At 47.3% G+C, this 24,027-nt stretch overlaps 1 protein-coding gene across 8 annotated transcripts in view, besides 4 other annotated features; it reads right to left on the bottom strand.

The window, feature by feature from the left end:
- Positions 1 to 8,932: 8,932 nt before the first annotated feature.
- FRMPD3 (FERM and PDZ domain containing 3) overlaps positions 8,933 to 24,027 on the bottom strand; it is a 155,600-nt gene continuing 140,505 nt past the window's right edge. For all 8 annotated transcript variants that reach the window (NM_001388459.1, NM_001388462.1, NM_032428.2 and 5 more), the window contains 2 exons: positions 16,042 to 16,863; positions 8,933 to 13,881 (listed from right to left, as the gene is read on the bottom strand). In NM_001388459.1, the coding sequence (NP_001375388.1) occupies positions 10,811 to 13,881; positions 16,042 to 16,863 (3,893 nt within the window). In that variant the 3' untranslated portion in view covers positions 8,933 to 10,810. The remainder of the gene's footprint in view (positions 13,882 to 16,041; positions 16,864 to 24,027) is intronic.
- Positions 13,090 to 13,635: an enhancer, noted in NCBI's record as "H3K27ac-H3K4me1 hESC enhancer chrX:106843779-106844324 (GRCh37/hg19 assembly coordinates)". NCBI's record gives its function as "activates a minimal SCP1, AML or CMV promoter by ChIP-STARR-seq in naive H9 embryonic stem cells {active_cell/tissue: H9 hESC(naive)}" and the evidence as "EXISTENCE:reporter gene assay evidence [ECO:0000049][PMID:30033119]".
- Positions 13,636 to 14,181: an enhancer, noted in NCBI's record as "H3K27ac-H3K4me1 hESC enhancer chrX:106843233-106843778 (GRCh37/hg19 assembly coordinates)". NCBI's record gives its function as "activates a minimal SCP1, AML or CMV promoter by ChIP-STARR-seq in naive H9 embryonic stem cells {active_cell/tissue: H9 hESC(naive)}" and the evidence as "EXISTENCE:reporter gene assay evidence [ECO:0000049][PMID:30033119]".
- Positions 14,304 to 14,803: an enhancer, noted in NCBI's record as "H3K27ac hESC enhancer chrX:106842611-106843110 (GRCh37/hg19 assembly coordinates)". NCBI's record gives its function as "activates a minimal SCP1, AML or CMV promoter by ChIP-STARR-seq in naive H9 embryonic stem cells {active_cell/tissue: H9 hESC(naive)}" and the evidence as "EXISTENCE:reporter gene assay evidence [ECO:0000049][PMID:30033119]".
- Positions 14,804 to 15,305: an enhancer, noted in NCBI's record as "H3K27ac hESC enhancer chrX:106842109-106842610 (GRCh37/hg19 assembly coordinates)". NCBI's record gives its function as "activates a minimal SCP1, AML or CMV promoter by ChIP-STARR-seq in naive H9 embryonic stem cells {active_cell/tissue: H9 hESC(naive)}" and the evidence as "EXISTENCE:reporter gene assay evidence [ECO:0000049][PMID:30033119]".

Genomic DNA, 24,027 nt, shown 5'->3' with positions numbered 1-24,027 from the left:
CAATTCTGTCCTTGGTGACCAAGGCCATATCGGCTTTTTTGTCTATAAGTCAAACTAAGAAGCAGGAATTGCATTTACTTCCAAGAAACTGCAAACGGCTTGCCCATAATGCAGATTTATTCTCAAATTTATATGAGTGAATCAGGGAGGGGCAGTTGGGATCCTTAGTTTATAAGGGAGCAGGCCGAGGGATTGAGTGAGTAGGGCTCTAGAGAAGGCAGAGAGAACAGATGTTACCTCAGTGGCTTGGGCACTCCCCACTGTCATAATCACATAATTGAGAGAAGGGATTTCTGAAGCCACATTACCAAGGTAACACAGGATGCATATCAATTTAAGAACATTCCATGCTCATGGGTAGGAAGAATCAATATCGTGAAAATGGCCATACTGCCCAAGGTAATTTACAGATTCAATGCCATCCCCATCAAGCTACCAATGACTTTCTTCACAGAATTGGAAAAAACTACTTTAAAGTTCATATGGAACCAAAAAAGAGCCCGCATCGCCAAGTCAATCCTAAGCCAAAAGAACAAAGCTGGAGGCATCACACTACCTGACTTCAAACTATACTACAAGGCTACAGTAACCAAAACAGCATGGTACTGGTACCAAAACAGAGATATAGATCAATGGAACAGAACAGAGCCCTCAGAAATAATGCCGCATATCTACAACTATCTGATCTTTGACAAACCTGAGAAAAACAAGCAATGGGGAAAGGATTCCCTATTTAATAAATGGTGCTGGGAAAACTGGCTAGCCATATGTAGAAAGCTGAAACTGGATCCCTTCCTTACACCTTATACAAAAATCAATTCAAGATGGATTAAAGATTTAAACGTTAGACCTAAAACCATAAAAACCCTAGAAGAAAACCTAGGCATTACCATTCAGGACATAGGCGTGGGCAAGGACTTCATGTCCAAAACACCAAAAGCAATGGCAACAAAAGCCAAAATTGACAAATGGGATCTAATTAAACTAAAGAGCTTCTGCACAGTAAAAGAAACTACCATCAGAGTGAACAGGCAACCTACAACATGGGAGAAAATTTTCGCAACCTACTCATCTGACAAAGGGCTAATATCCAGAATCTACAATGAACTCAAACAAATTTACAAGAAAAAAACAAACAACCCCATCAAAAAGTGGGCGAAGGACATGAACAGACACTTCTCAAAAGAAGACATTTATGCAGCCAAAAAACACATGAAGAAATGCTCATCATCACTGGCCATCAGAGAAATGCAAATCAAAACCACTATGAGATATCATCTCACACCAGTTAGAATGGCAATCATTAAAAAGTCAGGAAACAACAGGTGCTGGAGAGGATGTGGAGAAATAGGAACACTTTTACACTGTTGGTGGGACTGTAAACTAGTTCAACCATTGTGGAAGTCAGTGTGGCGATTCCTCAGGGATCTAGAACTAGAAATACCATTTGACCCAGCCATCCCATTACTGGGTATATACCCAAAGGGCTATAAATCATGCTGCTATAAAGACACATGCACACGTATGTTTATTGCGGCACTATTCACAATAGCAAAGACTTGGAACCAACCCAAATGTCCAACAATGATAGACTGGATTAAGAAAATGTGGCACATATACACCATGGAATACTATGCAGCCATAAAAAATGATGAGTTCATGTCCTTTGTAGGGACATGGATGAAATTGGAAACCATCATTCTCAGTAAACTATCGCAAGAACAAAAAACCAAACACCGCATATTCTCACTCATAGGTGGGAATTGAACAATGAGATCACATGGACACAGGAAGGGGAATATCACACTCTGGGGACTGTGGTGGGGTCGGGGGAGGGGGGAAGGATAGCATTGGGAGATATACCTAATGCTAGATGACACGTTAGTAGGTGCAGCGCACCAGCATGGCACATGTATACATATGTAACTAACCTGCACAATGTGCACATGTACCCTAAAACTTAAGAGTATAATAAAAAAAAAATTAAAAAAAAAATAAAAATAAAAATAAATTTAGCTTCCAAAAAAAAAAAAAAAATCATGACCGGGCATGGTGGTTCACGCCTGTAATCCCAGCACTTTGGGAGGCTGAGGCAGGCAGATCACCTGAAGTTAGGGGTTCGAGACCAGCCTGGCCAACATGGTGAAATCCCGTCTCTACTAAAAATACAAAAGTTAGCTGTGTGTGGTGGTGGGCTCCTATAATCCCAGCTACTTGGGAGGCTAAGGCAGGAGAATTGCTTGAACCCAGGAGGTGGAGTTTGCAGCGAGCAGAGATCGTGCCATTAAGAGAAAGAACTGCACTCCAGCCTGGGTGAAAAGAGCGAAACTCCGTCTCAAAAATTTTTTTCATTTTTTAATACAAAAATTAGCTGGGTGTGGTGGTGCATACCTGTAGTCCCCGCTACTTGGAAGACTGAGGCAGGAGAATCACTTGCACCCGGGAGGGGGAGGTTGCAGTGAGCTGAGATCGTGCCACTGCACTCCAGCCTGGGCAACAGAGCCAGACTCCATCTCAAAAAAAAAAAATCAGATTCATTGCATTCTGCATTGGATATGAGTATATCTGACATTGTAGGAAGCCCTTATGCCCAGCACAAAGTGCTTTGTTCAGTTAATCAGATGGCTGAAGTTCATTACGTTGCCCTGGCAGAGAAAATGGGGAGATGTAGTTCAAAAGATACAAAGTAGCAAATATGTAGGATGTAGGATGTAGGATGAAGTCTGGAGATCTAATGTACAACATGTAACATGTCCATGCTACCAGTTTTTGCTTGGGGAGAGGAAGAGAAAAAGGTGGGTTTTTGTTGTTGTTGTTTTTTTGTTTTTGTTTTTTGAGACAGAATCTCACTTTGTCACCCAGGCTGGAGTGCAGTGGCACGATCTCGGCTCACTGCAACCTCTGCTGCCCAGGTTCTGGCGATTCTCCTGCCTCAGCCTCCTGAGTAGCTGGAATTACAGGCATGCACCACCATGCCCAGCTAATTTTTGTCTTTTTAGTAGAGACAGGGTTTTGCCATGTTGTCCAGGCTGCTCTCGAACTCCTGACCTCAGATGATCCATCGGCCTTGGCCTGCCAAAGTGCTGGGATTACAGGTGTGAGCCACCGTGCCTGGAATGAATATTCTCTTTAAAAAAAAAAAAAAAAAACCAAAACCAAAACCAAAACCCTTTCCTATTAAGCCTAAATGTTGAGGAAAAATTAGAAATTCAAGCTCCCTTTATTACAGCTGCTTTTAGCAAGGAGGATGAGGATGGAGGAAGAGCAGGAAGATGTCAGAGAAACATGTGAGGGGTATTGGCCAAAGGCCAAGATGAGCTTCGTGTTCACCAGACTGTGTCCACTGAGGACAGGGATTCTCCATTGAGGAAGTGAGCTGGCTTAGCAATTTCGAAAAAAAGGCCCAGGGAAAAAGAGGTCTTGCAGGTCCTTTTTGAGGGAAACTAACTGAAAATGGCTTTGCCTGGGAGCAATGGATATTTGGAGAAAACAGTCCCCCAAAGCTCTGCTGGCCAAGTTTCTAGTTCCAGGCCTTTGGTGCAAGCTTAATTAGTTTCTGTGGACCAGCTGCAAATGGGGCAGTTCTATTTGTACTTGTTAAGTTGTACAGCTAAGACTCAGGATTTTTACAGCTGCGTTTTCAGCACCACCTCATTAATCCTCACAGCCATAGAGGGAGGCTGAAGACTCAGTCATCTTCGTTTTAGAGGAGAGGCCCAAAGAGGTAAAATGACGTATACCCCATCATATGGCAAGTCAGTGGCTGGGCTGAAAAATAGAAGTGAGCCCTGATTCTAGGGTGAGCTGCTCAGCCTAGCCCACACAGCTTCCCTGCTTTGCTTGCTCATTGCAGATGCAGAAATCTCCGGCTGGTTCCCCTCAGTCTGGGCTTGGGGCTGACCTGCTGCTAAAGTGTGTAATAGGCAACAGTTGGGGGGCAGGGGCAGGGAAGGGGAGGGAGCCTTTGATAATGCTGCCCCATCTCCTCTTGGGGTCCCTTTCTGACACCCTGTCACTTCAGGTCTTTCTCTTTTTTTTAGATACAGGATCTTGCTCTATCGCCTAGGCTGGAGTGCAGTGGCAGTGTGACTTCCTGGGCTCAAAGGATCCTCCCACCTGAGTCTCTTGAGTAGCTAGGACAACAGGCGTGTGCTACCATGTCTGGCTAATTTTCTTTAAAGAGATGGGGTCTTGCTATGTTGCTCAGGTCTCCAACTCCTAGGCTCAAGCGATCCTCCTGCCTTACCTCCCAAAGTGTTGGGAAAACAGGCATGAGCCACCCTACCTGGCCATTCCAGGTCTCATATCCCTGAACAAGCACTTGACCCCCACCCTGTGCCCAGATCCACGGAAATAGACGGGTCCCAGCTATCCTCCCCTTAAGGCTTATGCAACCAGCTGGCTCATCTGATGGGCCCCAAGTGTGTCAATACTTCCATCCAAGCATGTCTATTAGTCGAAGAGAGTGAACTTGGATGCTGGGTAGATGGCTATGGGAATGTCACCAAAAGTATCAGACATAAGACTCAAGTGTCTTTGAAATGATATGTATCTTTAAAAGGCATTCATGTTTGCATTCCTCACATGATGCTTTTAGATAAAAATATTTAATGTGGGCCGGGCATGGTGGCTCACGTCGGTAATCCCAGGACTTTGGGAGGCCGAGGTGGGCAGATCACCTGAGGTCGGGAGACCAGCCTGACCAACATGGAGAAGCCCCGTCTCTACTGAAAATACAAAATTAGCTGGGCGTGGTGGTGCATGCCTGCAATCCCAGCTACTCAGGAGGCTGAGACAGGAGAATTGCTTGAACCCAGGAGGCGGAGGTTGCAGTGAGCCGAGATCACGCCATTGCACTCCAGCCTGGGCAGTGAGAGTGAAACTCTGTCTCAAAATAAATAAATAATAATGAGTCATCAGAATGATATTTTCCTCCAAAATCTTGGAGAAAAATTCAAATGTGTCAGGAGTATGGGCCACATTGTAACTGTGGCTTTTTGTGTCTGCCAGCACATTGCCACATACTCTGGGGGGCTCAGACCCCAGGTGGAGGAGCACAGGGAGTCCCATATCAGTGGGCAGATGGTAGAGGATGAGGGGACCACCTGAGAGCCACGTGCATATTTTGAAGGCTGCTTTTTGGACATAACGCTCAGCCCACAAATTTCCATGCACATATACTGTTTCATCCCTGGCTCCCTCAAAGAGGCATGAGGCACAAGGGCAGACCAGAGAAGATAGGTTAGGGGACAGGTGGGCTTGCACTCACATTTCAATGTCACAGGCCACCTGTTACACACAGGCCGCCTGGACCCTGAGCAGCAATTACAGGTCATCTTCTGATGAGTGTGGCTGCATCCATGCCTCTGTTTCCGGGAGAAGTGATTAGCAGGTAAGGTTGAAGTCAGGAGTGGTGGCTCATGCCTGTAATCCCAGCATTTTGGGAGGCTGAGGCAGGGAGATCACTTGAGCCCAGGAGTTTGAGACCAGCCTGGGCAATATGGCAAAACCCTGTCTCTACAAAAAAATAAATAAATAAAAATAAAAATCAGTTGGATGTGGTGGTGGGTGCCTGTAGTCCCAGCTACTTGGGAGGCTGAGGTGGGGGATCACCTGAGCTCAGGAGGTCTAGGCTGCAGTGAGCTGTGATTATGCCACTGCACTGCAGCCTGGGTGACGGAGTGAGAACCTGTTTAACAACAACAACAAAAACCCCACAAAGGTAGGTTCCTCCCTGCACTTCCAGATGCTGCGGAGAATGACCCTGGGTCCACAGAAAGGTGGGGTCAGGCTAAGTACTGTAGGGTAGTAGTTGAAAGCATGATGGGCTGGGTTTGAAAACTGATAGGCTTACCATTTACCAGCTGTGTGACCTTGGGCTAGTGACTTGTCTAGGCTTCAATTTCCTCCTCTGATAAATGGAAATGATAATAGTACCTCTCTCAAAGGATTATTGTGAAGGTTAAATGAGATCATGTGTGTAAAGTACTTAGCAAGGTATCTGGCATATGGCAAGTGTTCATACACAGTTGTTTTTGCCTATTTAAGGGCAAGGTTCAATTTTTCTGTGTTGTGGAAGACTCCCAACATAGTACAGATGCATATTCCTTTTAGCCAAAGCCTTGAAAATGAGAATGAGGTATCAATACCCAGAGGGAAGGACATCACAGACAGGAGAACAGGAAAAGCTAAACCCGAGCTTATTCCTAAGTGGTAGGTAAAAATCCTGCAGCTGAAAACATCACACAGACACCAGAACATGTCCCTGTTATGCTGGGGTGTGGCATCAACCAATGACTTGGTGCGTGGATGCGTAGGCCTTTGTGGGTGTCACTAGAAACGCTCATGTGAAACAAGAAGTTCTGTACCTGCAAGAAGGCAGCCTTCATCATTTCCACTTTACAGTGGCTTCCAGCCGGTCAGGACATTGAACCCAAGAAACCCGCCTGGAGTCCAGGACATTTCTCCAGGGACCAGGACTGAATCCTCAGAGGTCATTTCCTCCGACTCCATGGAGGACTTCCTTCTCGCTCCAGATGTACACCCACAGTCTGGCTTCCAGGCTGCAGGATGAGGAATGGGATGTGGCTATTACCTTGGAATCAGATGTGGTTATTACCCTTACCCTACTGGCTGTTCGGAGGAATTCGATCCTAAGACATAAATGTATGCCCCCTCCCAATGCTGGCAGTTGACCCTCCCCTACCTCTTTGGCAGCAAAAATTCTGGCGGAGGCAGGTTCTTTCAATTCATTGCTGATGAAATTACCTATTATCCACAGTGCCTTCACAACAGCTTGAAAAAAATGTGATTGTGCCAGCACCCACTGGCATTTTGGGTCCACGCCAACAGTATGAACCCATTTTCCTTTAAGTGGCTGAAGTCAGAAAGGCAGGAATCAGGCTCTGGGACACTTGGATGGGGTGACTGGAGAGCATCAGCTTCAGGTTCAGGTTGAGGCCAAAGATGGCAAGGAAGACACTGGTGGGAATATGGCCTTTCCCTGCACTCCCAGATACTGCAGATAATGACCCTGGGTCTGAGGTGACTGTCAGTCACCTCAGGAGAGTTTCAGGAGCTTTTGGAAAGTAGTTGGTGAAACTCAGCTGAGTTGGTGGGGCATGGAATGATGGCCCCAACTCCTCATCTTTTGATAGGAGGATGCCAGGCTGTCTAGCCATGTCCAGCTACACTGCCCCAAATCAACCACTCCCAGAGGAGACAGAGCCCTTTTCACTCACACACAAGTCTGGGATGGCTCTCTCATGACAGTCATCTCCTTCAACACTCATTTATTCTACAAATATGTGAATACTACTATGTGCCAGATACTGTGTGGGTGGGTACCCAGGGTGTAAAACTAAATAAGAATGTTTTCTGACCTTAAGGAGCTACCAGTGTAGTTAGTGCAGGGCCTTAGGGCTCCTGAGTTTTCAGACTGTCCAGTTGGGTCATTTTGAGTGGCAGTGGGCTTCAGTTTATCATGGCATTGACTCGCACTGAATCCCAACCTTAGTGCTGTGGGACAGTATGCCTGGCAGGCAGCACCCAGAAGAGCTCTGCCTGTAGTCCAAGGGCTGCTGCCTGTGGTTCCCTCCCATGTTTAAAGAGGAGCTTTGGCTTGGTGTTGAGGAACATGCAGAGAATCCCAGCCTGACTGTGCTGCCCCTGACTGTGCTGCCCCTGGCTCCTCTTCAATGCTTTGCTTCCAAACCTCTTTAGCCATAACCTTTGCAGACATGGAAAAAAAGGAGTCTGTAGGCCGAGTGTGGTGGCTCACGCCTGTAATCCCAACAGTTTGGGAGAATGAGGTGGGTGGATCACCTGAGGTCAGGAGTTCGAGACCAGCCTGACCAACATGGTGAAACCCCGTCTCTGCAAAAAAAAAAAAAAAAAAAAAAAAAAATTAGCTGGGCGTGGTGGTGGGCACCTGTAATCCCAGCTACTTGGGAGGCTGAGGCAGGAGAATCACTTGAACCCTGGAGGCGGAGGTTACAGTGAGCTGAGATGACGCCATTGCACTCCAGCCTGGGTGACAGAGCGAGACTTTGTCTCAAAAAAAAAAAAAAAAGAGTCTGTTATCAATCTTTGGAAGTGACTAAGTAGGATCACTGTACACAGTTGGGTAGCTTGTATACATAGCCAATGAGGCAAGTCGGGCTGGACAGGGCTGAAATTACCAAGCCATGTGCCCATCACACAGAGGGTGTCATGGTGGGGGCATGGGCAGCAGGAAGAACCTTTTTCTAATTTGGACAAAGATGCCTCAGGCTAGTGAAGAACTGTAAGTACCAGAAGAAAGTTAGGAAACAGGAGAAACAAAATAATTTCTCACCCTTGGGTAACTCTGAAGAGCCAGAAGGGTTAGCTCTGATTAGGGTCCTAATGCTTCCATACTATGGAAACAATCCCTCCTTCCCACCCCACTACATGGCCAGAGGCTGTTGCAAGGGATTCCATAGCCTAAACTGCGAGGCAGTCAGGCTGCACTCTGAGAGCAAGAAGGCACAGTTCAGAGGGAGAGGCCCCATTTCCCAACCCCAGTCTGAGGAGTGGCCTAAAATCCTAATTCCCAGGCCATCTGATACACTAGGCACAGAGCACACTGTGTTTCTCCACACAACCCCCCACACCACCTCCAGCCCTTCAGCTCTGAGGTCACAGCCATGGGGGCCAGGTGAGCCAGAAGCCTCGTGGTCAAGAGAAAGAGGTAGACAATTTCCAACTCCCATGAGAAACAGTAGGCTTCAAAGAGGAGCAAAGGGGATCCCCTGTGTGTTGGGGAGGTGGGAGGAACAGGGTCCTTAGCTCTCATCACCCACCAGTGCCCAGTACATAAGAGCAGGGGCCCAGGATGAGCACACAAAGGGCCACCACCAACCAACAATTCAAGGACACAAGGACACCCACAAAGAGGCACCGCAAAGACTTATTGGGATAGTAAGATGAATAGATTTAATCATTCTTGTTTGAAAAACAAGACATAAATTAGTATATATATAATTTATATATTTTATGTAGTATATATACTATATACAGACATTAGAAAATGTTTCCTCTCCATGAGGCTGAGGGAGAGGTGAAGGATGGCGGTGGAATGACACAGGCAGGGGCTGAGTGGCGAAGTTGGGAGAAAAAGAAGACCATATCAGCACTCCAGCTTGCAGTGGCTGAGGGGAAAAGGATTCCCCACTGGCTGCATCTCTGGCCCATTCAACAACTTGGTCCTGGGGGAGGAGAAGCAAGGAAGTGAGGGGCTGGATTCTGCAGAAGAAACTCCCCTCCTCCTTGCCGGGAGAACTCACCACTCAGGGAGACTTTATTGCACTAGGGGCTACCAAGGATGGGCAGGGATTAAGCACAGTGTACATCTTTATAAAACTCACATCAGAATGAAAGATTTCACATGGGCCTCTGACACAGTGATGAAACAGAGGCAGACACAGGGCACAAGGGTGTGGGAAATGGGGAGATATGGAGAGGCGGACGAGAAGCAATCTATACAGAAGAAACATTGGCTTTCTTTGTTCCCTACAGTGGGACAGTTGGTAGGGACTCCGTGTCTTCACTCCCAGGAAGGTTGCGGGGGTGGGGGGCGTGGGGGGAGGGTTGGCAGCGGTGGTGGCGGTGGTGGTGGCAGCGGTGGTGGCAATAGGAGGTGTGTGTCAAGGTGGATGTTAAACAGTGTGAATTCCCTTCCAGATGGCTCCAGAGAGGGAGAAAGGTGCAGGACTGCACCGGGTAAGGCGCTCAGCTTCTTTTCTTAGAGAGACAAATCCACAGGGTCAATACACAGCCAAAAGCATATACTCAGGATTAACATATCACGCTAGCTTCCAGAAGTTTAAGATATAGTCATCAACACCCCCCACCCCTACCCCTTTCCCCCCTCCCCCCACCCCCCTCCCCGATCCACAGCTAAGTCAAACTCCCAAGGACAGTCTGTCTGGTAGAGAGATGTTGAGAGAGAAGCCTCATGCCTGCAGCAACAGCCCCTGAGCTGGGCTGGGCCGGGCTAGGCGGGCTCCTAGGCCTGCACTGGGTCTCCCCAGGCAGACGTTTTCATCAGGTACCTTACCCAAAATGAGTGGGGTGATCCCAGATGCTTGCTCCCTAGTGGACTGAGCTGCCCTGCCCATCAGTGAGGGGCAGGGCACTTTGGGGATGGCTGGTGTGGAGCTACTGGACCTGGAGGTGAGGGCTCACCAGGCTGCCGGCCAGTTGGGCCGCTGCAAACAGCCTAGTGTGGCTGTTTTCTGCAGACATCTCACCCAGGCACAGGCCCTCAGGGTGGCATCTACCAGGTGAGTGTGAGCCCAAGGTGGATGGGGACATCTGGACTGAGCGCCCTCTCCCCTCGGCACGGCAATGTGGCCTGCTGCTACTGCCACTGCTCCCAGCAGGGGAGCCGATGCCACGAGGAGCTCAAAGCCTGAGGGTCCGCTTGCTTCAGGCCCTGGCTCCCCCAGCGCCCAACACGGATTGAGCAGGAAGTGAGCCTGATGTCACCTCTCAGCCCCAGAGAAGAGATAAAATACAGCTCTGCTGTGAGCAGAGTGAAGAGGGGCCTTTGCCCTCACAGTGAGGCCCAGAGGCCAGGGAAGGGGTGAGGACACCCAGGGCGGCAGCTAAGCCTGCAGCCCTTAAGAGAGAGCCTCAATCAAGAGAGTTTCCACTCCCCGGAGACTGATGGGCTCTTGGACCCTGACTGGCCCAGCAGACACACACACACTCACCACAAGATGCAAGGACCACAAAGCTCAAACCTGGGGCCATGGTTGGGGAAGGGGGACAGGTGTGGGCAGATGCCCTACTTAATAAGGGTTTTTAAGGAGTGGGTGAATGTGCTCATAACAGTCGCCGAAGTTGGGGAGCCTGGTGGATGCTCTGTGGCTGCCCCTGCAGCTGCTGCCACCTGCTGCTGCTGCTGCTGCTGTTGTTGTTGCTGCTGCTGTTGTTGTTGCTGCTGCTGCTGTTGTTGTTGCTGCTGCTGCTGGTTAAGGTTACGGGCTGTGGACTCCTCAGCTGCACGCAGCAGGAAGGTGTAGTTCCTCACCACCTCTTCTACCTTGGCCAGCAGCTCTTGGCGCTGGGCCTCGGAGCGCACAATGAACACCAGCCGCACGAAGGTCTCAATGAGGCTGCTCAGCACCTGGAAGCTGCCCGTGATGGCTGCCAGCATGTGAGTTGGGCTCTTGTCCACATTGGCCACACGGCGGCAGGAGGCCCGGAGCTCCTTGAACTTGAGAGCTAGCTCAAGCTTATACTCGGAGATCTGAGACACATAGGGCTTGGGGGCACGGGCCTCGGGGCTGGCCACACACTGCCGCAGGACTGTCAGCAGCTCGTTGGTGTCCAGCCGGGCAGCCAGGAAGCCATCAGGGAGGCCATAGGCATGGGCCCGCAGGGCATTGATCTTGGCCAGGCTCCCCTCGAAGGTGGACACACGGAGGTCAATCTCCTGAGTGCGGGAGGCCTCAGGGCTGCTGCTGCTGCAGGTAGCAGCATCCAGCACCTGCAGGGTCCTGCTCACCACAGGCACCACCTGCTCGTCCAGCTTCATGCCAGGCAGGATCTTCATGGGGATAGAGTAGGAGAGCTCATCCTTGCCATCACTGGCATCATCTGCCATGTCACACTTGCGGTAGTAGAAGCAGTAGCGGATGGAGCAGCACTTGCTGCTCTCACTGTCCTCGTCTAGCTCGGCAGGCTTCCGGTACACCTCCTCGGGCAGTGAGAACACGGCCATCTGTCTGGGGCCTTTGGTCTCTGGGGCAACCTGGACGTAGGAGGGGTCTCCCAGCGTCGGTGACTCCAGAGACCTGCTTTTGGGACCCAAGGCTATGGGGAGGCTTGCCTCTACCTCCTTGGCCTCCCTGGGCAGCATGCCCAGGGGAGGATGTGGGTAGACATCCGAGGTCAGCGAGGCCCTGTCACCCTGGTCCAGCTCACTGATACTGTAGCGGCGCATCAGTTTCCTGTAATTGGGAGCTCCCAGACACTCGCCCCCCGAGGCACACGTGGTCAGGCACGAAACACCACTCTCAGGGTCCGATCGGCACTCTCGGGACTCCAGGCTGGTAGAACGAATGCGCTGGACATTGATGGGGCTGCTGAGGCTCACGCCTGGGCCAGCCTCTGGCTGCCTCTGGCTAGGGAGGACTCTGTCCCTTTCCCTCCCCCGGAGGCTGGGCACTGGTGTCTGGGTGGCTTGTGGCCGGCCCCCCCGGCAGATGCGCTTGCAGTCACAGCTGCGCCTCTGCTCACGGGACATGCCAGGCCCCTGCTGCACAGGGCTGCTGCGGAGCTGGCAGCTGCAGCGGCCAGGTGCTGGAGGTTGCAGGTACTCGGTGCCTGGCAGCTCCCCCTGGCTTGGTGGCTTTAGAAGTTCCTCAAGGAACTCCAGTTCATACTGCTTTACCTTCTGCAGTTGGGCCTGCCGCTCATCTGTCTCCTTCTTCTGGCGGGTTGGGAAGGTGGCAGAGAATAAATTGCGTAGCCGGAAAGGACCTCGGGATGACTTGGGTTTGGCAGGGCCTTCAGAGGTCGAGTGGGCTCCATTGAGAGTTGTTTCAAGCTTCCTAGAGGGCATGGTGCTCACCTGCCGGCTGGCAGCCTGAGACCTCAGTGGGCTCTGGCCTCGAGGTTGGCAGCTGGGGCTCTGACCTCGAGACTGGCTGCTGGGGCTGTGGCCATGAGGCTGGCAGCTGGGGCTGTGGCTTCTTGACTGGCAGCTGGGGCTCTGCAGAGCCATGGGGTAGGTAGCTCGGGGAACCAGGCTGGTCTCTTCGAGCTTGCTTCTTTTGGGTGTGCTCTCCAGCTGCGCCTTCTCCCCTTGGCTGGAGATGGTGCCCTGCTTCTGCAGGGTGGGCTTACCACCCACTGGCCCGCCTTTGCCTGCCACCTCCCCTGTAGCTTGCTTGCCCACTGACTCTCGGCTTGTTCGCAAAAGATAGCTTTTGGGAGGGAAATTTTGAACAGGCAGACTGTCCTCTTGTTGGGAGAGGTGCAGGCTGTCAGCCCGGCTGCCTGTGGGTGCTCTGGGGCTGGAAGAGACCTCTGCACCCAGCTGATGTTGAGAATTCCATGAGGTCTCTGGAGCACTGGGGCTAATTTTGAACTTCAGATTCTTACTGGCACTGCTGCTCATCATGCTAACCTCTGGCCTCCCCATGCTGGCCTCCAGCCTTCTCTCACCCCTGCTGGGGGGGTTCCCCAAAGCCCCACCAGCAGTGACTAGACTCTTATTGTGAACCACTTGCTGTAGGGCGGCCGAGATGATGGCAGGGGTCACACTGCTCTTTGGGTCGAGGATAAGCTTGGGGCTCAACCTGACCTCCTTGGGCAGGTTGTCCCTCAGCTCAGAGACCTGCTCTTCACTGAGGGATGATGTGGCTGCCCTCAGTGACATTTCTAGGCCTGCCCTAGTGTGGCCAGGCCCTTTGTCCTCAGGAACTGGGGACAGCAGACTCAGATTCTTCTGTTCACTAAGCTGTGGGGACAGTGCTGGGTGCACTGCCAAGGAGTATGTTCGTTCTCCCTGTACCTGGCCCTCTGACTGGGGCAGCTTCCTCCGAGCGCCAGGGGGGCCAGGACTCTGGCCTGTGGCAATGGGTTGGAGAGATGGGTTGGGATCCGGGCGCCCAAGAGAGTAAGGGGCCGTAAGAACGGCCTGGGCTGCACAGCTCTGGATCCGGAAGGGCAGGTCCTTGCGGGCAAGGAGGCTGTCCTTGTTGAGGTGCTGGGCCAGGAAGTAGGTGGTGTTCTGGTGCTGCTTCATGGCCGACATCATCTCTGACATGTCTGTGAGCTCTGAAGAGTTGGTTTCATGACCTGAGTCCAGCGATGATTCAGGAGTGATTGTGGCCAGCACAATCAGACCTGGAGGAACAGGGATAGGGCTTGTTATGCTTACTGAAATCAAGTTCTTTTCCAGCTCTACACGGTTGTCCCTCGGTATTCATGGGCGATTGGCTCTAGGACTCCTGAAGATTCCAAAACTTGCAGATGCTCAAGTCCCTGATACGAAATGGCATAGTATTTGCATGTAACCTATGTACATCTTTCCATGTACTTTAAAGCCTCTCTAGATTACTTATAATACCTCACACAATGTAAATGCTATGTAAATAGTTGTTATACTGTGTTGTTTAGGGAATAATGACAAGAAAAATCTGTACATGTTCAGTATAGACATATTTCTTTTTTTCAAATATTTTTGATCTGCGGTTGGTTGAATCAGTGGATGCAGAACCCTCAGATACAGAGGGCTGACTATATAGGAAGTGCATAGAAGCCAAGGTTAGCCAGCAGTATTTCCAGCTGGAGAAAAACAGACAGGCCTGGCGAGAATGCAGGGCTGAGGGTGGGAAGAGTGGAGGGGAGGGGACAAAGAGGGGCAAGCTATAAGAAGGGGATGAAAGGCCGGAATCCAAAACAGAAACAAAAGAGGTGGCGAGAGGATCTGGGCAGTTTTATGGCAAATTACCATGTGAATCACATGCAAAACAGCATGCTAATCACAACTATTTTTAGATTCAACAGCTAGGAAATTTTTGTTAATTGTCCTAAAGAGGGGCTGGCAAAGAGAGGTCTCTCTCTATCCCTCCTCATCTGGCCAGGCCCGCCTACAGTCATTGCAGCTGAGGCCATTTAGCTGAGCTTGTCCTCTCTCCAGCAGCCACGTGGGACTCAAGCCTGGGAGCAACTAGCACTCTCTCCAGACTCTAAGCAAAGAGAAATGCCAGCCCTGGGGGCCAAATACATGGGGGTTGTCCAATGTCAAGGGTGTCCTCACACATGGAAAAGGCAGGCTCTCTCTGACCCCAATCCCTCGTGGTCCCTATTCCTCCCTATTCCTTTTCTGTTGCTGTGTCATTTACCTCTTCTCTTTCTTTTTTCTTCTTTTTTTTTTTTAGAGTCTCACTCTGTCACCCAGGCTGGAGTGCAGTGGTGCAGTATCGGCTCACTGCGACCTCTGCCTCTCAGGTTCAAGCGATTCTCCTGCCTCAGCCTCCTGAGTAGCTGAGACTACAGGTGTGCACCAGCCCACCCAGTTAATTTTTGTATTTTTAGTAGAGACAGGTTTTCACCATGTTGGCCAGGCTGATCTCGAACTCCTGACCTCAAGTAATCTGCCCACCTCGGCCTCCAAAAGTGCTGGGATTACAGGTGTGAGCCACCACGCCCAGCTCTCTTCTCTTTTTTTAAGGTGTATGTATATGGAGGGACATATGTGTGACTATGGGTATGTGTCTGACATGTGTTTGTCTACAAGATGGACATACATGTGTTTATAACAGGGAACAGCATGCATGTTGTACGGTTTTCCTGTGAACTAATACTTAGTTACAATAGCTACCACTTACTGAGGCCTTACTGTGTGCTAGGCAGTGCTTACATGCTTTGCATGAATGATCTCATTCAATCCTTGTGACAACCCCATGTGATAGAACTACTTTTATAAAACCCATTTAAGATGATGGAATGAGGTTCAGAGAGAGTAAGTGCCTTGCCAAAGGTTACACTGACAATGATTGAAGAAACCAGGACTTCGGTGCATCTGATTCAGAGCCCATGTTCTTAGGCAGGATAAAGACCTCAGCCATGAGCAGTGATGGCCCTTGGCTCCCCTGGTCCCAGGTCACTAGGTAGTGAGTTGGTCGTTTTCCTTTTCTTTCAATCATGTGCATGCTGGATGTTCTGTTCTTCACCTGTCTTCTACATCTCTCACAGTTTTTCTCTGATCCTCTATCCTGGCCTGCATCCATAGCTGTCATGACCCCAATCCCTGGGATCTATCTGTAAGGCATTTCCAAAGAGATGCAATGACGAGAGCCAGAACTCTAGCTAGAGCTGAGCAGCTGCTCCCTGCTGTAACATCATTGCTCCTCTGACCCTATCTAAAGAACCTTTGGTACATCCACTGCCCTGACATACCTCAGTGACTCTGACACCTATTTGGGAAGACACAATGTTACCTACTGGCCCTTGTTGGACAAGAGAAGGGGGTGGAAAGAGGGAGAAGGAATCGGTCATTACCTGCAGTCTGTGGGGGTGGTGGGTGTGGTCCATCCTCGGATGCAGCCAGGGCTTCTAGAGCCTGCAGAGTGGACACCAGGGCATCATCTAGCTCCTGGGCATGATCTCGAACTGTCCGGGTCTGCACACTGTCAATCAATGTCACTGGAATCTCATCGTACAGAAGCCCACGCAGGTGGCGTCCTTGTTCCTGGCTCTGGACAGCCCGGCGCTTGGGGTCATCCTCATCAGAGCTGTTGTCTCGGAAACCAGGGGGTGGGGCAGCAATGGCTGGCAACAGAGAAGTTGTCTCATCTTCCTCCTCCTCCTCCTCCTCACTCCCAGGTGGTGGGAGGGACATCAAATCTACTATATTGTCACGAGAGGAGCCAGGCTTCCCACCTTTGCGAGGGCCCAGCTGCTCCTGAAGTTTGGCTTTGCAAGAGTCACAGTAGAAATTCAGGGCTTCAGCCCCAAGGGAATTGTCCAAGGTGTAGGACCGGGCCCTGCTGGCACAAGGCTCGTGGTCTAGGCTAGCTGCATCAAAGTCATCAGGGACTACCTCATAACCTTGGCCAGAGCTTTTGGATGTGGGGTCAGACTTGGTTCGGGGCCTGGTCTCCTCAAAGAAGATTAGGTTCTCGTTGACATCTGTCCGGCTTTCCTGCTCCTTCCTTTGTTCCCGCATATGGAGGTAGCAGAAGCTGACAAGCTCAGAGTCGGCAGGTGGGGGCGTGCAGCGGCTCGATTTCCTGGGGCTGGTGCCCACGCTGCCCACATAACTACTCTCCTTTTTCCCCAGGTGGCCCCCAGTGACAGGGCGGTGGGCGCTGTGCATGTAATCTAAACCCAGAAAGAGAATCAACAGATGAGCCCTGGTGCCAAGGATTGTGAATGAGCTCCCTTGTTGTCTCTGGCCCATGTCTCTGTAGCACAATCAAGTGGCAGGTCCCAAGACAAAGCATTACCTGGCTGCCAAAGATTAGAGGTAGGGAAGTTGATGAGCTATGTTACTGCTGACCCTGAAAGTAGAGTGAATAGAGTCTAATAACCTGAGCTGCTAATAGCCCCATCACCTCTGAAATGGGAAAAGGCATGGGGTATGGTAGGGGTCGGGGTGAACACCCTGGTTTAGGGCCTGGTATCTGGGCACAGCTGGACTCTTACATGGATACCCTCTATCTGAAAGTCAGCTGTAAACGTATGTCCCACTTGGAACTGTTCCTACCCCTGTCCCCACCCCTTTTCAGAGCTTTTCCACCAGTGCTCTGTTGTTCTTGTTATCTTGAATCTCTTCTAGCAGAAGGAAATAAATCTGACAAGTTACTAATGCTTTAGTCAGAACCTGTTAAACAGGCTACATATAATGCCGAAGAGTTTGCATTTCAAAGAGGCCTGTTGATGGAGGGATCCTAAAAGAATAAGGCTCTATATTAGAATTCCGGGGTCTGAATGTGTAAAGTATATGGGAGATATGCTGGGATGTGCATATGTGGGAGGAGGGCAGGGGAAGCATTCTTATAATTCTTCAAATTTTATTCTTTTCTGCATTCATGCAGGGCCAGCCCTACCTGCTACACATACATATGGCAAATGCTCTCGTCAACCGCTCTTAATGATGGTAGGTGTGTGCATCTGAGAATTATCTATAGCAAATGCTTTATCTGTGAATACCTTCTCTCACTGTTTTTGGAGCTCTTCCCCATTTTATCTGTGAGAATATACTCGGACAGCAGACAGACAGATAACAAACAAGCACTAACTTAGGCTAAGGTCCTAATATACATGATCCTACTTATTCTTCATAACAACCCAATGAGGTAGTTATTATCATTATTCACATTTTAAGGATAAAGAAACTGACTCACCTAAGGTTACATAGACCAAGTGGTAGACTGGATTTCCGCCTAGGTCTGAAAGACTTCAAAACCCATGTTTTTAGCCATTACCCTTATAACTCATCATGGTGGTCAAGATGCTGGAAAACAAGCCTTCAAAATGCCACTCAAACTCCAGTTTGACAGAGTCAATATGCCAGTGTTGCCTTTCACTAGAGATTACATCTATGACAAAAGTACAGCACTGGCACCTAACAACAAAACTCCCAAATACAGGAAGAAAAAACTGACAGAATTGAAGGGAAAAATACACAATTCAACAACAGTAGTAGGAGACTTCAATACTCTACTTTCTTTCTTTTCTTTTCTTTTCTTTTTTTTTTTTTTTGAGACGGAGTCTCACTCCGTTGCCTGGGCTAGAGTCCAGTGGTGCGACCTCGGCTCACTGCAGCCTCTGCCTCCTGGGTTCAAGTGATTCTCCTGCCTCAGCCTCCCGAGTAGCCAGGATTACAGGCGCCTGCCACCACGCCCGACTAATTTTTTGTGTTTTTGGTAGAGGCGGGGTTTCACCATGTTGGCCAGGCTGGTCTCAAACTCCTGACCTCAAGTGATCCACCTGCCCTGGCCTCCCAAATGCAGGGATTACAGGCGTGACCCACCGCACCCGGCCAATACTCCACTTTCAATAATGGATAAAACAACTAAGCAGAATATCAACAAGGAAACAGAGGACCTGAACAATACTATAAATCAAACTAGACCTAACCGAAATCTATAGAACCATCTACTTAACAGCAGCAGAATATACATTATTCTTAAGTGCATATGGAACACTGTTGTGAATAAACCGTATGTTAGGATATAAAATAAGCCTTACTAGATTTAAAAGGAATAAAATCATACAAAATATATTTTCTGAGCACAACATAATTAAATTAGAAATCAGTAACAGAAGGGAGTCTGGGAAATTCACAAGTAGAAATCAAACAAAACACTTTTTTTTTTTTTTGATACAGGGTCTTGCTCTGTCACCTAGGTTGGAGTGTAGTGGTGCAATCTTGGCTCACTGCAACCTTCACCTCCTGGGCTGAAGTGATCCTCCCGCCTCAGCCTCCCAAGTAGCTGGGATTACAGACACCTGCCACCACGCCCAGCTAATTTTTGTATTTTTGGTAGACATGAGGTTTCACCATGTTGGCCAGGCTGGTCTCAAAATCCTGGCCTCAAGTGATCTGCCTGCCTCAGCCTCCCAAAATGCTGGGATTACAGGCATGAGCAACCGTGCCCAGCCAAAACACTCTTAAATAACCAGGCTGTCAAGGAAAAAAATCACAAGAGAAATTAGAAAATACTTTGAGATGAATAAAAATGAAAATACCACATACCAAAATTTATGGGATCTAGCTAAAGTCGTTTTTTTAAATTTTTTATTAATTTATTTTTTGAGATGGAGTTTTGCTCTTATTGCCCAGGGTGGAGTGCAATGGCACGAACTCAGCTCACTGCAACCTCCACCTCCCGGGTTCAAGCGATTCTCCTGCCTCAGCCTCCCAAGTAGCTGGGATTATAAGCATGTGCCACCATGTCTGGTTAATTTTGTATGTTTAGTAGAGATGGGGTTTCACCATGTTGGTCAGGCTGGTCTCGAACTCCTGACCTCAAGTAATCTGCCTACCTCAGCCTCCCAGAGTGCTGGGATTATAGGCGTGAGCCACCGCGCCCGGCCTAAAATAGTTCTTAAAGGGGAAATCTGTAGCTGAAAGTGCCTACGTTAAAAAAGAGGAAAGATTTCATATGAATTACCATAAACTTCCACTTCTACCTTAAGAAACCAGAAAAACAAGAGCAAACTAAGTAGAAAGAATGAATAAGACCTACTATTTGATAACGCAATAGGGTGACTACCGTCAATAATAACTTAATTGTACTTTTAAAAATAACTAAAAGAGCCAGAGTAATCAGACAAGAGAAATAAATAAAGGGCATCCAAACTGGTAAAGAGGAAGTCGAATTGTCACTGTTCACAGATGATATGATCATATACTTAGAAAATGCTGAAGACTCATCCAAAAAGCTCCTAGATCTGATAGATGAATTCATTAAAGTTTCAGGATACAAAATCAATGTACACAAATCAGTAGCACTGCTATACACCAACAGTGACCATGCTGAGAATCAAATCAAGAACTTCACCCTTCTTACAATAGCTGCAAAAAAAATAAAACACCAAGGAGGTGAAAGACCTCTACAAGGAAAACTACAAAACACTGCTGAAAGAAATCACAGATGACACAAACAAATGAAAACACAGCCTATGCTCATGGGTGTGTGCAATCAATATTGTGAAAATGACCATACTGCTAAAAGCGATCTGCAAATTCAACGCTATTCCCATCAAAATGCCATCATCATTTTTCACAGAACTAGAAAAAAAAATCCTAAAATTTATATGGAACCAAAAAAGAGCCCGCATAGCAAAAGCAATCCTAAGCAAAAGAACAAATCTGGAGGCATCACATTATCAGATTTCAAACTATACTACGAGGCATGGTACTGGTATAAAAATAGGTACATAGGCCAATGGAACAGAATAGAGAACCCAAAAATAAACCCAAATACTTACAACCAACTGATCTTCGACAGAGCAAACAAAAACATAAAGTGGGGAAAGGACACCCTTTTCAACAAATGGTGTTGGGACAACTGGCTAGCCCCATGTAGGAGAATGAAACTGGATCCTCATCTCTCACATTGCACAAAAATTAACTCAAGAGGGATTAAGGACTTAAATCTAAGACCTGAAACCATAAAAGTTCTAAAAGATAACATTGGAAAACCCCTACTAGACATTGGCTTACACAAGGATTTCATGACCAGGAACCCAAAAGCAAAAGCAATAAAAATAAAGATAAATAGTTGGGACTTAATTAAACTAAAGAGCTTTTGCACAGCAAAAGGTACAGTCAACAGAGTAAACAGACAACCCACAGAGTGGGAGAAAATCTTTGCAAACTATGCATCCAACAAAGGACTAATATCCAGAATCTACAAGGAGCTCAAACAAATCAGCAAGAAAAAAACAAACAATCCCACCAAGAAGTTGGCTAAGGACATGAATAGACAATTCTCAAAAGAAGGTATACAAATGGCCGAGCATAGGGAAAAATGTGCAACATCACTAATTATCAGGGAAATGCAAATCAAAATTACAATGCAATATCACCTTACTCCTACAAGAATTCACCATAATGGCTGGGCGCGATAGCACATGCCTGTAATCCCAGCACTTTGGGAAGCTGAGGTGGGCAGATCACAAGGTCAGGAGTTCGAGACCAGCCTGACCAACATGGTGAAACTCCGTCTCTACTAAAATACAAAAATTAGCCAGGCATGGTGGTGCATGCCCGTAATCCCAGCTACTCAAGAGGCTGAGCCAGGAGAATGGCTTGAACACGGAAGGTGGAGGTTGTGCCACTGCACTCCATCCTGGGTGACAGAACAAGACTCTGTCAAAAAAAAAAAAAAAAAAAAAGAATGGTCATAATTTAAAAATAAAAAAAAAATATGTGTTGGTGTGGATATGGTGAAAAGGAACACTTTTACACTGCTGGTGGGAATGTAAACTAGTACAACCACTATGGAAAACAGTATGGAGATTCCTTAAAAAACTAAAAGTAGATTTACCATTTGATCCAAGAGTCATTATATGAAAAAGACACTTGCACATGCATATTTATAGCAGCACAATTCAATTCACAACTGCAAAAATATGGAACCAGCCCAAATGCCCATCAATCAACGAGCAGATGAAGAAAAATGTGGTACAGTTGGGCACAGTGGCTCATGTCTGTAATCCCAGCACTTTTGGAGCCAAGATTGCACCACTTCACTCCAGCCTGGGTGACAGAGCGAGATTCCATCTAAAAACATTAATAAATGAATATTAAAAAATTTTTTTAATGTGGTTGATGAGATTGGACACATTCAGGGAGGTATGGCTGTAGACTAAAATGTGGTAAATATATACAATGAAATACTACTCAGCCATAAAAAGGAATGAAATAATGGCATTTGCAGCAACCTGGGTGGAGTTGGAGACCATTATTCTAAGTGAAGTAACTCAGGAATGGAAAACCAAACATCATATGTTCTCACTTACAAGTGGGAGCTAAGCTATGAGGATGCAAAGGCATAAAAATGATAGGCTGGACCTTGGGGACTTGCGGGGAAGGGCGGGAGGGGGTGAGGAATAAAAGATGATTACACACTGGGTACAGGGTACACTGTTCGGGTGATGGGTACACCAAAATCTAAGAAATCACCTCTGAAGAACTTATCCATGTAACCAAACACCACCTGTTCCCTAAAAACTATTGAAATAAAAATAAAATAAAATAACTAAAAGAGTATAATTGGATTGTTTGTAACACAAAGAAAGGATAAATGCTTGAGAGGATGAATACCCCATTCCCCATGATGTGCTTATTTCACATTGCATGCCTGTAACAAAACATCTCGTGTACCCCACAAATATATACAACTACTATGTACACACAAAAATTAAAAACAAAACAAAAATAAAGGCAAAAAAAGAAGAGCAAACAACCCAAAGCAAGTGGAAGGAAATACATAGAGGATAGAAAAAAGATAGAGAAAATCAATAAAACTAAAAGTTGGTGTTTTGAACAGATTAGCTGGAAAGATCAAACAAAAAAGAGAGAAGACTCAAATTACTAAAATCAGGAATGAAAGAAAGAATATCACTACTGACCATACAGATATGGAATTGATTATAAGGGAATATGAATAAGGATATATCAACTGGATAACCTAAACGGTATGGACAAATTCTTAGAAATATACAACTTAGGCTGGGTGCAGTGGCTCACGCCTGTAATCCCAGCACTTTGGGAGGCCGAGGTAGGTGGATCACTTGAGATCAGAAGTTCAAGACCAGCCCAACCAACAGGGTGAAACCTCGTCTCTACTAAATACAAAAAATTAGCTGGGCATGGTGGCACATACTTGTAATCCCAGCTACTTGGGAGGCTGAGGCAGGAGAATAGTTTGAACCCGGGAGGTGGAGGTTGCAGTGAGCCAAGATTGCACCATTGCACTCCAGCCTGGGCAACAAGAGCAAAACGCCATCTCAAAAAAAAAAAAAGAAAGAAAGAAAGAAAGAAAGAAATATACAATTTGCCAAAACTGATTCAAGAAGATAGAAAATCTGAATAGACAGTATCAGGAAAAGAAATTGAATTAGGATAGGAATTAAAACTCCTCCCTCACCCCCGAAAAAAGTCCAGGCCCAGGTGACTTCACTAGTGGATTCCACCAAATGCTGAAAGAAGCACTTATACCAGCCTTTCACAAACCCTTCCAAAAATCAAAAGAGGAGAGAACACTTCTTAACTCATTGTATGAGGCCAGTACTACCTTGATACCAAAACCAGACAAAGATGTCACAAGAAAACTACAGACAAATGTCTTTCATGAATACAGACACAAAATCCCTCAACAAAATACCAGCAAGCTGAATTCAGCAACATCTAAAAAGAATTATACACCATGACCCAGCAGTGTATAAATACTAACAAACTGAATCCAGCAACATATAAAAAGAATTATACACCATGACCAAGTGGGATTTATTGCAGTAATGCAAGGTTGCTTTAACATCCAAAAATCAATGTAATACACCATGTAAATAGACTAGAGGACAAAAACTACATGATCATCTCAATAGATGCACAAAAACATAAATAAAAACATAAATCTAACACCCTTTCATAATAAAACACTCAATAAACTAGGAATAAAAGGGAACTTCCTCAATATGATAAAGGTTACCTATAAAAAACTCACAGCTAACATCATACTTGATTTGAATGAAAGGATAAAAGCTTAGATCAGGAAGAAGACCAGAATGTCTGTTCTCACCATTTCTTTTCTTTCTTTCTTTCTTTCTTTCTTTTCTTTTTAGTCTGGGGTCTGTCCAGATGTTCTCACCACTTCTATCCAAAACTGTACTGACTGAAAGTTCCAACTGGGGCAATTAGGAATTAAGATGAAATATAAGACATCCAGATTGGAAAGGAAAAAGTAAAACTATCTCTTGCAGGATACAAGCTCAATGTACAAAAAATCAGTTTTTTTTGTATTTTTATTT

This window comes from Homo sapiens, chromosome X (genome assembly GCF_000001405.40).
Source record: "Homo sapiens chromosome X, GRCh38.p14 Primary Assembly".
NCBI classification, from domain to species: Eukaryota; Metazoa; Chordata; class Mammalia; order Primates; family Hominidae; genus Homo; species Homo sapiens.
This window is presented reverse-complemented; position numbering and strand designations above follow the sequence as displayed.